The sequence below is a fragment of the Homo sapiens genome, chromosome 21, assembly GCF_000001405.40.
Source record: "Homo sapiens chromosome 21, GRCh38.p14 Primary Assembly".
Taxonomy (NCBI): Eukaryota; Metazoa; Chordata; class Mammalia; order Primates; family Hominidae; genus Homo; species Homo sapiens.
The window spans coordinates 10,453,772-10,469,025 of record NC_000021.9 but is presented as its reverse complement, the minus strand read 5'-3'; the positions used below and the strand labels follow the sequence as shown (position 1 = coordinate 10,469,025).

Here is a 15,254-nt window from a genome sequence, read left to right as displayed (position 1 = left end):
TAGATACAAGGGAGGGGGGAATAGAAATTGGGCAACAGCCTGACCAGGTGATTCTCATGAGGGAAAGTGGAATAATGTGTGCTTCCAGTTGTGATACCCTGAGGATGGATCAGCATTTTGCAGTATTCTGGCCAATAATGCATGCCTCTCATCTAATTATAAGGGGTTATCAAAAACAAAATGGGGAAATTTCTGTTTGAAAAAAGAAAAAAACAAGTATATCGAGAAGAACTCTATTCTTCAAAAATACCAATGACAAAAACTAAATCCTAGAACCTACTTGGAGGAAGGGGTAGGTTATGAAGGACATCAGATCAAATGACATAACTGTAATATGGCTGGTACATTAGATAAACATATGGCATTGATGTAAGTTTAGGAAGTTGATAGCAGGATTGTGATTTTTTAAGAATATTCCTACTATTAAGAAATACATACTGAAATGGTGGTAAAAAGGCACAATGTATGTAATTAACCCTCAAATAGTAGGGGGTTGGGGGAATAGAGACACACACACAGACACACACACATACACACACACACACAGAGAAAGTGAGAGAGGGCATGCCCAATGATAATGAAATGCTAACAACAGATATATCTAAGTAAATGGGATATGGGTATTATTTTTATTTTTTCCAACTTTTAGAGTTTGAACTTATTTTCAAGTAAAAACTTTCTAAAAACGCATAACATACCAAAGAACAGACATTCTTGAGATAAAAGTAGGAAAAAGAAACCTATCTGACAATGACTGGTTTACAATAAAGATCCTGAAAAGATCAACCCCACTCCAGCTCACCAGGGAGCAGCCCCAAACTAGACTGACAGCCCCGCGGGGGCACACTGATTTGCCCCAACATCTCCAGCCTTCACTACAGTGATGTTCGCACACAGTAAACACTCAAATGTTAAATGCAAACAAATGAGCAAATTATGACTCAAGACTACAGAGAGAACTACAGAAGAATTCAACAGCAGAGAAAGATGATCATTCTTCAAATGGTTCAAAGGACAAACCTTTCAATCCATGAAAAACTCTATGGTAACTGTTTCTGTACTTACTTTGTGTTAGGCATTGTGCTGGGCACTTTATAGATACCACTTCATTAAATCCAACATCCCTGTGAGGTAAGTACCGTTAACCTTCTATACACTGACTTAGGGAAGTTAAACAGGTAGCCAAAGATCATCAATTTAGTAACTGAAAAAACTGCAGTTTGACTCCACAGCATAAGCTTTTAACCACCACACTATAGTGCCTTCATAGAACAGAATAAAAAGATTAAGTATCCAATAGTATTCCCAGAAATTATGTAATCCTGTCACTCTCAAAAGAGAATAGCAGATTACAAAGAGCAAATCGAAAAGAAGCACACCAAAGGGGAGACAGAACAAGCTGAGAAAGACACCCAGAATTCTCTACCAGTTCTCAAGACAATGAAAACCATAATAAAGAAGATTAAGAGCAAGAGACAAAAATTATCCAGTAGTTACTAGATATTATTAGAGAGTGTAAAGAAGGTAATTTTTAAAGTAAATATATTTTTTTAAAAAGGTGCTGGGGCGGGGGGTGGAGGCGGGGATGGGGATTCACACATCTCCCAAAGCTTTCAGGAAGAAAAAAAGGATTATGATTAAATTTTTTCAAGTTAAGATTTTTCTCGTGACAGCATAAACTGAAAAAACTGAAGAAAATGTTTTCAGAGTATAAAAAAGAAAAATTTGTAATATGAAACATTATACTGTGCCAAGTTCTTATAGCCAGCCTAAAAGGAACAGTCTCTTTCCAACATGTAGGGTTTCAAAAACTTTATAATTATTTTTAAAGGATCACAACCAAGACTCTGAAAGGTTGAGGGTAAAGTTGGAATTAACAGAGGAAATATATTTTTGCAAGAAAATTGTGACAGGGTTTACAATCTAGGTTAATCGAATCAAACAGAGAAAAGGGGAATAAAAACTTTATTTTCAGTGGGGAATGGGAGAAAATTTATATCTTTAATATTTATAATCATTTACATTCACAAAATGAGATTCTGAATTATAAATCATTGCAGGAAGTAAAAGAAGAGAAAAATAGAAAAATTTTGCCTCAAAACAGCCAAGCATTTCAATTACAACCGTCAATCCAGTTACCTCTATTAAGCTTTTCAAAAGATACATTTTTATAACACAAAAGAATCCAAAATAAGATGTGAAAAGATAACCATTCAACCGTTAAACTAACACCCTACGTGGCCATAGAGTCAGGCAAAGCAAAATACCTGCCCTTCCTGATCCCTCAACAAAAAACACATTACATAGAATAAAGAACAATTTTATACTGGTAAAAAACACAATATATTAACACTGGCCTGACCTACTTGCTAAATAACAGCCACAAGTTATTTGTTTAAAAATATGATAAATTGATAGGAACAATTAATAGTGGTCAATTGTAACTTGTTGAATCAACAAGTCAAAAAATAAGGTAAAAGGACTTCATCTAACTAAATGAAATTAATAAACACAAATGCTACACCTTTAAAAAGTCAATACTTCAAGTATCAAAACATTTATTTTAAGAAACCTACCTTAGTTAAATTCTCTGATTAAATGAAATGTAAGCATAAATTAACATACTTCAGCACAACTTAAAAAAAACAAAGTTATTCGCTAAGGTATATACATACATAAAGTTACAAATACAATAAACTTGGCTTCAGTCAAAGCTATAGCCTAAGGTAAACTTATAGTCTTAAATGTCCTTTTTCCTTAGGAAAGACAATGAATTACAAATTCAACTTCGTATTAAAAGTAAAAAGGCAAGTAGAGGAACTGAGTGAAGATAAGAGTGTAAATATACAAATCAGTCAAATAGCAGAGTTTTTCCTTTCCAATGATGTCATTCAGCAAGAGAAGGAATCTGAACTACCTGAGGAAGCAGGCCAGAGTTCATCACAATCCTTCAGCCCTCAGGTCCCACTTCCCAGGTAGCCACAGCTGAGCACAGTTACCCAGCAGCTCTTTTTCCCCCCAGGAGAGAAAGCCCCTCCCCTCAACCCCCACCACTCAGGCAGATGCCTAGTAGAACTTGCTGAAGACCACAACAGAACCTGGTAATACTGCTTGCAGTTCTAGGTGCCAAACCTCACTGGCGAGGACAGGGTGCAGGTACAGAATCTCTCTGCATCTGCTCCCACCTCCTGCCCACACCAGGGACCTGGGGTTCTGGCCACATCACCCTCCTTTCCCAGGCCCTCCACCTCCTCCCTAGAAAAAGCAGTTCCGAGAAGGGCAATGACAATGCTGTGCCTTCCACTCCTGCACACGGGCCATCACGCCCTCTCCAGCTCCAGGGAGAACCCGCTCCAGGCCCATGCAGCACCTGAGGGTCATCTCCATCCCTCAACCTCGCGACACCAGCAGCCCAGGAAGACTAAGCTTAAAAGCTAAACCGCACCTTGGATTCCAAGGGCTATCTCCACTACCCCACTGCCCCCAACCCGGCTCTGAACGCCTCCCCCTGAAGGGGCAGAAGCCAAGTGAGGTAGGAAGTTAGTTAATGAGTTCATCGGCATTTTTTATAATAGCTCAAAATTTTAAAGGACCCAAATGTTCACCAACAGGTGATTCAATACACAAATTGTGGTATCTCCAGCACTCAGTAATACAAAAGAATCACTACTGATCTGTGCAGCAATAGGGATGCATTTCAAAATAATTACACTGAGTTAAAGAAGCCAGACCAAAAACGAGTATATACTATATGAAGCTTTTATTAAAAATTCTAGGAAGTGAATACTAATCTATAGTGAAAAAGCAGACTAGGAAGACAGAGGGTTTGGGTTTGAACAGCCACAAAGCAAGCCAAGAGGCACCAGGAAACTTTGACGGTGATGACTATGTTCATTATCTTGAAGAGTGTACAGTTTACTGTATGTCAGTTATATGTCAATAAAGCTGTTTTTAAAAAGCTGATGGTAATGTATAGATTTGAATAGATATCCGATTTGTCTGTTCTCCATATAAAACATACAGAGGATTTAAAAAAGTAAACAACTTACTTTGCATTTCCAGCCGTTGGTTGGTACAGATTTCATAATTCGTTGAAGACAAAAAGTATGATACCCTTTGTCACACGTATCACACACTAGCATCTTGCTATCTTCTCCCGATTGTCTAAAAAGTAAGATAGCATTAATGATGGCTTATCTTTAAACTTATGTTTTGCAACATAAGTAATCATGAAAATCATCAGTCCTGGGAACCGCACAGTTCATAAATACCTCAGTATCTGTTTTGTCTCTGCAGATAGTAACAGAGGTAACCCTACCATAAGGATTCCCTCCTAAATGGTGATCTTTACTCAATGCTCACCTATGGTTAACTTGCTCTAGCCATTTTAGGATTCCTGCAAAGGAGGAAGGGTTAAGGCAAGATGAATAGCCTCTGATCTTTACTTTTAAAATATAATTTTTGAGAGGAAGGCGCTATAACTGCTATGTGCTACTGTGTGGAAAGATCAAATCTTGGCACAGCAAATTGAAAAGACTGTCATATAACATAAAGAGGATCAAATTTGGCATCAGATCTCTATTTGTATTCAGGCTGCTGTTTTCTAGCTGTGTCACTAAACAACTTAGACTAAAGCTCTCTGAGTTTCAGGTATAAAACGGGAATAATAAACATTACTGTGAGAATTAAATGTAATGCAGGTTCAAGTGCTTAGAATGTCTATTAAGCAATTAAATGCTGAATAATTATTTCAAAAGACGAATCTTGTCATAATTATTAAGAATTATAATTGAAAACCTAAAACCTTTCTTTAAACACTCTTCTGCCCCCAAAGATTGGGCCCCTGTCCTACAGCGTTATCTCTGTTGAGATTTTTGACTATAATTACTTTCAGATACTATGATTTTAAATTCAAGAGGAGGGGAAGAGAAAAAAACAGGGAAAGCAAGAAGAGCTGAGAGAGGAATCTCTGAATGAAATCTGGGGGATAAACAGAAGTCAACAGGAAGATGGGTCAGTTGGCCTCCAATTATTATTCAGTTCAACCTCTCCATAAAAAGTCACATGTTTTATCTCTTCAGCTACATGCAAAGATCTTGGAGGACAAGTACTCTTCCTTCAAGCTCTTTTAATCCTTCCCAAGAAACTGAGTGCAGATACAAGGTATCGAATAAATGTTTACTGAATATTTTATCTAATTTTTACCAAAATATGAAGGTACATAGTCCTATTTATGTCATGTAACTCTAAGATATTGACGCTTATTTCTTATAAAACTAAATAATAAAAACAGACTGATCATGGCAGTTGGGCATAATTCTTGCTGGTTACAACAAAAATTCTCAGCCTGTAAATGAAGATGCTGGTAACATCCCCAAATTATCATGCTCATTAGAATCATGGGGGTGCAAGCGGAAATCACAGAAAAGACTGGAGAAATGACCAAGAGATGAAATACAATAGGAAAAGATAACCCCCTTACAAATTTGTAAATGCCACATATTTCATTTTGGAATTATGCTGACCAGGATCTACTCAAGGTGGCTTTTAGAGAGATGCAGATGTACATTAAAATAATAGTAGAAAGTGTCCTTCCTGGAATGGAAATTCAAACACATGACTGACGTTTTGACTCAACTCTAATTCTTCTACGTCTGTAGTGAGAGGTTTAAATCCTATCACATCCCCTCCCCGGTGCCCCTGAAGACAAGCTACTTTATTCTTCTCATGCTTGTTTTAAATTGTTAATATCGCTTATTTTTTAAACTGTTGGTAAATTTAAATTAGCTCTTTAGAAGATCAGAGCAATTTAAATGATTAAAATCAGTTTTGTTTAGACTTCTTTCAAAATAATATAAACGTTAATATCCAGTAATTTTTTTAAGTATGATGAAGTCACTCTGAATGAATACAGCCAAAATATGAACAACCTCTATTATATTACACAAACTTTTAGCGCCTAGTAATAGGGTCCCTCTTAAACCCAATACACAGCTTTGAATTGAAATGAAAACTTACTTGCAGTTCTGGCACACTTTGCACTCAGGACATTGCCAACCTGCACGTTTTAATGGAGTAACCGCTGTATCCAGGCACATTCCATGATAGTGCTGACCACAAGTAGTACAAAAGAACTGATCTAAGAGGTCTCCCGGGCTGTCGCACACTGCACAGTTTGCATCTTCCTTCGCTATAATTAACAGTAAAACAATGAAATTGTTGTATAAGAATTTAAATTTTTTCTGACTACACAGTAAAATCATTTGAAAGGATTTGCATCATGAACCTTTCAGACATTTGAAGTTATTCACATTGAATTGTCATCTAATCAGAAAGAGGTATCAATAAAAACACTGTAGGGTATTTAATCTAAATGTAACCACATTAAATTTAATCGTATAGTTTTGCAATTATTTGTGGCTATATCTACTTAAGACCATAAGCAGGTCTTCTTTAATTTTCTATTCCTAATGCCAATGATAATGCTGGATACCTAATTAATGCTCAATATATGCTCACTGCAAAGAACCAAACAAGGAAAATACCAACTAAGAAATGCTTTGCAGTGTAACATAAACATTTTCTTTGAATGCTAAATATATTTTGAAATTACAAAATCAGACAAGAGACAAAATTAAGAAACGTTAATATCAATTAGACTAAGATGCTTCTTAAGCATAAACAGACTATTCAAATCACATAAGGGCTTTTTTTTGATTACTGGAAAATGTCTTATGTGGAAGAACATTAAAGACAGAAGCTACATATTCATACACAAACACATTACTTAATATACTAATTCTATATTCATCTATATTAATTTCTAGTTGTAAAAGCATTAAAATCCACATAATTATGGACATCATCCATCCCTAAATGTGGATTAAAAGAAAATGTACTAACAGTTCTTTTACCATATAAAACAGAAAATATAAGGATAAACTGCCCTGACAAATATACAGTTAAACTTATGCATATTGCAAAATAAGGAAAATAATGTATTCTAAAATCATACTAATCTTAGATAATGTATAAAAAATATGCCTGTATATAACAAGTATCACAAAGTATATGAATCTTTTCATTTTTTGAAGGTTTGATCATTCCTATCTACTATTCTGACTCATATGTTCTTTCTTTTCCAGTCAAGCTTATCATACCAACCTTTGATAATATATATAAATATGCCTGTATTTAACAAGTATCACAAAGTATATGAACCATTATTTTTCCTTTTTTTTTTTTAGACAGTTTCACTCTGTCACCAAGGCTAGAGAGCAATGGCGCGATCTAGGCTTACTGTAACCTCCGCCTCCCAGGTTCAAGGGATTCTCACGCCTCAGCCTCCCCAGTAGCTGGGATTACAGGCGTGTGCCACCATGCCCACCTAATTTTTATATTTTTAGTAGAGACGATGTTTCACCACATAGCCCAGGCTGGTCTCAAACTCCTGAGCTCAAGCAATCCTCCTGCCTCACCCTCCCAAAGTGCTGGGATTACAGGTGTGAGCTACCGCACTCAGCCTTTTTCCCATTTTTTGAAGGTTTGGTCAATCCTATCAATTTCTCTCTGACTCATACGTTCTTTCTTTTCCAGTCAAGCATCTTGAAACAGAGTAAAAATATATTTCTTTTATTTGTACCGGAGTCTGCAAACTTTTCCTGAAAAGGGCCAGGTAGTAAATATTTAAGGCTTTGTGAGCCATAGCAGTCTCTGACAAAAAGTCAGACCTTTTGTTTTTATTTACACTCTTTTAAAAATGTAAAAATAATTCCTCGCTTGAGGGCAGTACAAAAACAGGCTTCAAAATGTGGACGCTGGCTGGACCTCTGACATACTTCACGAAGGCTGGCTTAACACCTAATACTCATCTGAAGCTACATTAGTGAGGCTGCCAATGCCCATAGGAAACCCGATTTAGTCTTTGGCTTTTTTGCACTTTGTAGCATTTGCATTGCTAGCCACTCCCACATTAAAACGCCCCTTTCCTTTGTTTCTATCATGGCAACTCTCTCCTAATTTCTCCTTAGTTTTCCCCCACTTTCATCTCATCCTCCTTTGTTGGCTTTTGTACCTATACAATCTTTCTAAATGCTGGAGTTTCTTAGGATTTCATCCTTTTCCTTCTTTCCTAATCCCCCATAGTTTCCCTTTGTGATCACATCAACTCTCACGCCATAAAATGCCACCATGATTCCCAAATCTGTATTATTGGCCCTAGAATTCTTTCATAAACCCCAAACCTTTATTCTTCAAGTCTTACTGGATCTCAATAGCCAAGTGTTCTAAACACTCAATCTCAACTGCTCTAAAGTGAAACTTTTTTAAAAACCCGAAACAGCATCCATTTTTCTCAAGAACAGATAAAGGCAGAAACCTTAGTATCATTGTTGACTCTGAACTCAGCTTTGACCCAACACATCCAGCCAGATCCCAATTCTTATGTATTAAACTTCCTACACATCATTCTTTCTTTATATGTTTATAGTTTAGTCTATCATACTAGGTTGGTGCAAAAGTAACTGCAGTTTTTGACATTACTTTTAATGGCAAAGACTGCAATTACCTTTGCACCTACCTAATACTCTGTCTCGCTAACTGCAGTATCTTCTGCATCAAATCATCTCTACTTATGGTTCTGACGTCCTCTCTAAATCATTTTCTACACATCCAGAACAATCTTTCAAAAATGTAAATCTAATTGTTAACCTCTGTATAAATTAAAACTCCACCAATACCTCATTTTTCACCCAAAAGAAAATCAGAATTTTCAAGTATGAGGCAAAAAGGTCCTTATCTCCCTTTCCAACTGAATCTCAGAACCACTCACTATTTCGTGGTCATGGTGGGTTGTCTGCCATGCACCTCACATAACATGCTATTCATGTCTGTGTGCTTTTACACATTCTGTTCCCTCTGCTTGAAATTTAGTTTTTCTGCTGTGCTCCCAGCCTTCAAAACTCTGCTCATGGCTGGGCACAGAGGCTCACGCCTGTAATCCCAGCACTCTGGGAGGCCAAAGCGGATGGATCACCTGAGGTCAGGAATTCGAGACCAGCCGGGCCAACATGGTGAAACCCCATCTCTACTAAAAATACAAAATTAGCAGGGTGTGGTGGCACATGCCTGTAGTCCCAGCTACTCAGGAGGCTGAGGCAGGAGAATCGCTTGAACCCAGGTGGTGGAGGCTGCAGTGACTAGAGTTTATGCCACGGCACTCCAGCCTGGGGGACAGAGTGAGACCCTGTCTCAAAAAAAAAAAAATCTGCACATTATTTCCTGAATACCTATTACCACACCCAAATACCCATTTAGTTGTTGAATATTACTTTTACCCATATGCTTACAAGAAACTTCTGTTACATAATCATTTATTTACAGCACAACTCTGTGAATCCTTGAAGGACAGGGGCCTTAACTTTTTTAACTTTGTATCCCCAACTGCCTAACATGAATCAAGTCTTATTGAACATATTTTAAGTGAAGGACTTACTGCTAAAATCACTTTTAAATGGCTCTTTAAGTGATAGGCATTTAAAATAAATCATTAATCTAACAATGGAAGCATCATAAATTGGTTCATTTTTGATAGAAAGGACATAACTGGGATGTTATGTTTCTCATTATTAAGAGAGTACTAGTATTTGTCTTTCAAAATATGTACATTGAAAAATTGATCTCTTTTTGCTCACCGTAAAACTTTTAAAAATTGGGGGAATACTCAACTAATTATCGGAAACTAATTATCAGATAATCAATTCATTTTTCTATTATACTCTCCTAGGAACACTAAAATGCTTCTGTGAAACTTTCTAGAGTTTGCTCCCCTGACACTTCAAGTTGCCATGGTAGCTACTAGCGACATGTGGTTTCTGAACAAGTGAAATGTAATTAGTTCAAATCGAGGTATGCAGTAAGCATAAAATGCACACTGGATTCCAAAATCTTAATGGGGAAAAAGTATCTCAAAATTTGAAATATTACTATTTTGGATTACTGAATTAAATAAAATTTACTACAATTGTTCCCAAATGTTTCCTTTTCCTCAAATTTTTAACATACCCACTAGAAAAATTACTTATGTTGCTCACATTATATTTACACTGCACAGCACTGTTATATACAACAAAGTTCACTCTGCAACAAGACAACTGTCATTGTCACAAAAATCACATTTTAGACTATGATGATCTCCACCAATTCCTTACTGACAACCTTGCTGTGTTATCTGATTACTATGGATCATTGGTAATAAATTAGTCAAAGAAAAACATCCATGTAATACATCTGGTGCAAAAACACTTAATATGCCTTATGTGAAAAACAATATTATTTTTAAAAGCACTACACAAAGAAATGAGGTTGGTTCCAACCCTCCCAGTCAGAGAGAAGATGTGTGGGAATACTGAAACAACCTTATGGAGGTCGTGTATAAGAAGATTATCAATACTACTGGATAGGTTTGGTGTCATCATAGAAATTAAATATGAATATTTAGACACACATGTCTGTAAGCCAGAGACATTAAGTTTAAAGCAATAATCAACTAAGAAATTTTTCTTTAAACAGTTGAAAAAGCAAAAAGACAGGCTATAACTAAAGATAATTTAAGAGGGGAGAGGAGTAAAATCCAGGTCTATTTGGCTTCTAAGATCAGGCTCTTGACTACTAATCAAATTGACTCCTCAGCAAACTTTACTAGTGATCAATGAAAGTGATGAGTATTTGAGTATACACAAAAGTAGACACGAAATGCCAACAGTGGCATACAATGAAGCTAAATGAAGTAAAGGGAGCAAGGTTCTTATGGCAGGAGAAAAGTGAGAGGAAACAAAATGATCATCTTTAGAAAAGGTCATTTCCTAAGAGACAGCTGTAAAAAGAGAAGAGATAAATAAAAAAGACAAAAACATTGAGCTTAAATTAGAACAGAGCTTATCACAGATCCTTAAACTTGATGAAACTATTGCTTAAGAAAGTCCAGACAACACATAAGAATAAAAGCATTGGTGAACAGCAAGAAAAGTCAAAATAGCTGTCATACAGTGTGAATTGAAGAAGGACCAAATCAGCATTGCTTTCTAATTTCCATCACACCCTATCATCTGCCAATTTTCATCACTGGCAGGACACTGGGCTGAGTGATTTGTCTATAAAAGAGAATCTCTGGAAAGAAAAAATAAATCACGGATGTCATCCAAAGAGGCTAGACCGTATCATTGGCAGGTAGATAAGAAAGGTCAGAGGACTGACAGAATTTAGGGTAAAAGAAAAGCAGCAGGACTTAATGTCAAGAAATACAAAGATAACCAAAGAAAAGAGGCTGGAGTTAAAGCTTAAGTGAAGTAAAAGGAATTAAAGCTAAATGATGAGTAAATACATTGAGGAACAGGGGGTGAATTAAGATGTGTAGCATTTCCATGTTTAAACCTTGCAAAAACTTCTCATTGCAGACCGAACAGAACCCAAACTCCTTCCCTTGCTTACAAGCCTACATGATCTAGCCTTTGTTCACCTTGATGATGTCTCTACTACCCCCACCTAGTAGGCTACTATGCTCCAAGTAAAATGACATGCTGTCTGTTCATGAATCATGCCAAGTCCACTCCTCAAGGTCTGTGTAGTGGTCTGTTCCCTCTCCCTGGAATGTTCTTTCCTCTTATCTTGCATGACTGGCTTCTTACCATTCAGTTTTCCTATTCAGGAAGTATATCTCGTTGTATCTCCTAGATGGATTTTTAGTGTAAAATTTCCAGACAAGGTTAACGTATCCTTGTATCATCATGAAAACAATGTTGCAACAATGACCAGCCATTTACCTATGACAGAGCACCCTAAAAGTGTTTCCTGATGAAAATCTTGGCCTTCTTCACAGATACTCTCTTTAGCGGATTTCTTTATAATGAGATGCATGATTTTGTTAAATTTCTCAACTTTTATAAAAAGATGTCAACCTTACTCCTAACTCAGTCAACTATCACAGCTACTGCTCTGCCCTTTAGGAAGCAACAGAAAATACATATACTCAATATGTATTATCATTCTCATAACTTAAGCTTTAGATAGGAGGTAAAATAACTATGCTTTTTAAAGCAATTAATATATACAAGGCACAATCTTATGTGAATTCCATTCATTGTTTTCATTTAACCCTCATAATAACACTATGATTTAAGACAGTATCATTTTAAAAGCATAAAAAGTAACTTCTGCCATGACACACAATTAGGATAGGAAGAAATATTTATAAAAGATGTTAAAAAGGTGACAAAACATCCTATCTGCAATATTCTTTAAATTATATCCTTGGAACTTAATCCAAGATTATGATCGTCTTAACAGATGGGTCAGAACGCTGTGTAGTTAGAATGCACTGTTTAAGATCCCCAAGGAGGCCGGGCACGATGGCTCACACCTCTGTATCCCAGCAGTTTGGGAGGCTGAGACGGGCAGATCACGAGGTCAGGAGTCCGAGACAAATCTAGCCAACATAGTGAAACCCCGTCTCTACTAAAAATACAAAAAATTAGCTGGGTGTTATGGTGTGCGCCTGTAATCCCACCTACTTGGGAGGCTGAGGCAGGAGAAATCACCTGAACCCGGAAAGCGGAGTTTGCAGTGAGCCAAGGCCATGCCACTGCATTCCAGGCAGGGTGACAGAGCGAGACTCCATCTCAAAAAAAAAAAAAAAAAAAAAAAAAAAAACCAAAGAAATCTAATTTAGTCATTTAGGCCTTGATTTTATACCACTGACTTAGTTTGAAGGCTGCTATAAGAAACAGCCTTATGAAACTGGTATTTTTCTACTGCAAGGTGGCTACTTTAAGACAATTTTTCATTGCATTCTATCAAGGGATGTCTTATTATTATATCATTATATCAAGTGATGTTATAAATAGTAAGAATCAGATTAAGGGCTCATATTTCCTTCTTTGTATTGACTGTTGAAAAGGTATGGGGCCAAATTTGTGGTTTGTCTGGAATTACATATTTTTGGGGGGTCTCTCTATTATCTTCATATTTATCCTATCTAAATTTTCCATTGCCAAATTTCCTTACTTATTTTTAGTTTTATCCTATTGCTTATGTATTTTTATGAGTCTCCATAAGTCTATTTTGGAAAAAGGCAGAGTACTCATAATTTTAGTATATCTTTTAGCTTTATGTTGCCATAAACTTTTCATTATATACATGATCAACAACAGCAAATTATCTCACCTCAGTATTTAGTTTATTATTTTACAAACTGATTTATGATTACTAACATGTAACTGAAGGTATACACTATTAGAACACAGTTTTCAGTAGAAAGTAGCACTGCCATTGAGTAATAAAATGTTCCAATATTAGAGCAACATTCTTATACAAGTTTGCATGTTGTTTACTGAGGTCTAAAGCATGACTACACAAAAGGCTGAATAAAATTCAGATTCTTACATACACATAAAATTGTTTTATTGAGATGACAAAGTATATTTATTAGGCCACCCAGAATATAATCCACTCTGATAACTGCCAGTTTATGCACTTGCTGAAGTAACTCAGTACATAAATAGTAGCCACAACAGTTGCTGTGCATGAAAGTTCTTCTCTTCCAGATTGAAGAGTGTACAATCTAAAGCATTTTAAAACTTTAAATCCCTTATTAGCTTAAATATAATTTAAAATTTTGGTTTGCCTTACCTATAATTTGTCTGTACACTAGGTTACTAAGGGTGATATGATTACATATGTGGACACAAAATAATTTTAATGGAAAATGAAATTAGGTTACTCAACAAAGATAAAGGGTAATGATCATGTAACTAACCGTATTTGAGATTAGTTTAAGCCTGGGGTAGCTATACTTATGTTTCACAGACCTGGAGAAGATAGGAAAAAAAGCTTTTATCAACATTGCTAAGGAACAGGTAAAAGCTAACATTAGGTGACTAAGAGGTGACATAAAAAAGACTGAATAAAATATCATGGAGGTTTCATAATAAGATTGGAAATTCAATAGACTAGGAGAAAAAATATCCCAAAATATACATGCTCATTGGGAAAACACATAGTAAGAAAAAGGAGAGATCTCTATTTAATGATACAACAGTAGAGTTATAATTTCCTGTATAATGTAAATTTCAAGCATTTAAACATTTTCATTGAATTATAAAATACTATTTGGAAAAGAAAGAAAAACAGCACAACTGCAGATTACAGATGACTAAGATAGATGAATCATGAAAAGGTGCTAGCAGAGATTTCTATCACACCTATCAGGGATACACAATTTCCAAGAATTTCAGAAGTGTTTGGTGTTCCTATTAACGTAAATCCTGAAATAACACCTGAGTGAACTGTCTTCTAATTCTTCAACTGGATGGCTTTTTAGTGTAAAAGATGTTGAATACTGATTGACTTTTTAATAATTTTATAGTATAAGTCAGAAATACTGCACAGTCCCTATTTACATCTTTCTACAGTGGTTTTTAAAATGTTTTAAGAATAAAAAACATGCAAACTTTATTTGATTTTTCTGAGGAAATAACTTTTTGGATTTAATTTCAATGAAACCGTTGATAACATTTCCCTCCGCAACAATCTCTGGCAATGATCCCTCAGATTTTAAAGATTATGTATTATTACCTTTTAATACAAGTAGAATAACACTCAGGGAATTTACAACATTTGTTATTTTCAGTAAACACATTGGTTGAAGTTTAAAAGTCTATGCGTAGTAAACTTACATCTTTCAGGAGCTTGGTCAATGTGTTCTGGACAAAGCAGGAAGATGTGACTGAAATCCTGAAAGGTGTCGGCTCCTGCAGCACAAGGATAATGATACATCTGGGTACATTTCTCTTCACAGCATTTGATAGTGGCTCCAAAGTGCTTACAAAATGCACATCGCTGAAAGGGGTAAAGGAGAGAAATCTCTTTATAAAACCTTGAAAAGGAATATTCAAATATAAGCTGGGAAGGTATAAAAAACTCTGTACATCACAAGTAAACAAATGGAACCTGCAAAATATTAAACAAAGGATTCGTTAGAAATAATAAAATCTACATTACTCAATTTAGTGCTTCGTGTGCTACCAACTCATCCTTCCATTCAAATTAGAAAGTTAGAATTTCATTCCTTATATTTTCAAAAATAAATTGTGAAGCATTTTTGAAACAAAACCTAAAGATTTTTTTTTAAAGCAAATAGTAATATGGTTAAAGGGGCAGGTTTCTATATTGAGGATTATTATAAAGTTTTTAAATCCCAC

At 35.7% G+C, this 15,254-nt stretch overlaps 1 pseudogene across 2 annotated transcripts in view; it reads right to left on the bottom strand.

The window, feature by feature from the left end:
• BAGE2 (BAGE family member 2 (pseudogene)) overlaps nt 1-15,254 on the bottom strand; it is a 104,778-nt pseudogene that overhangs the window by 49,249 nt on the left and 40,275 nt on the right. For both annotated transcript variants that reach the window (NR_169269.1, NR_169270.1), the window contains exons 3-5: nt 14,730-14,892; nt 6,019-6,190; nt 4,050-4,164 (exon numbers count right to left, since the gene is read on the bottom strand). The product of NR_169269.1 is annotated as a BAGE family member 2 (pseudogene), transcript variant 1 (transcript). The remainder of the gene's footprint in view (nt 1-4,049; nt 4,165-6,018; nt 6,191-14,729; nt 14,893-15,254) is intronic.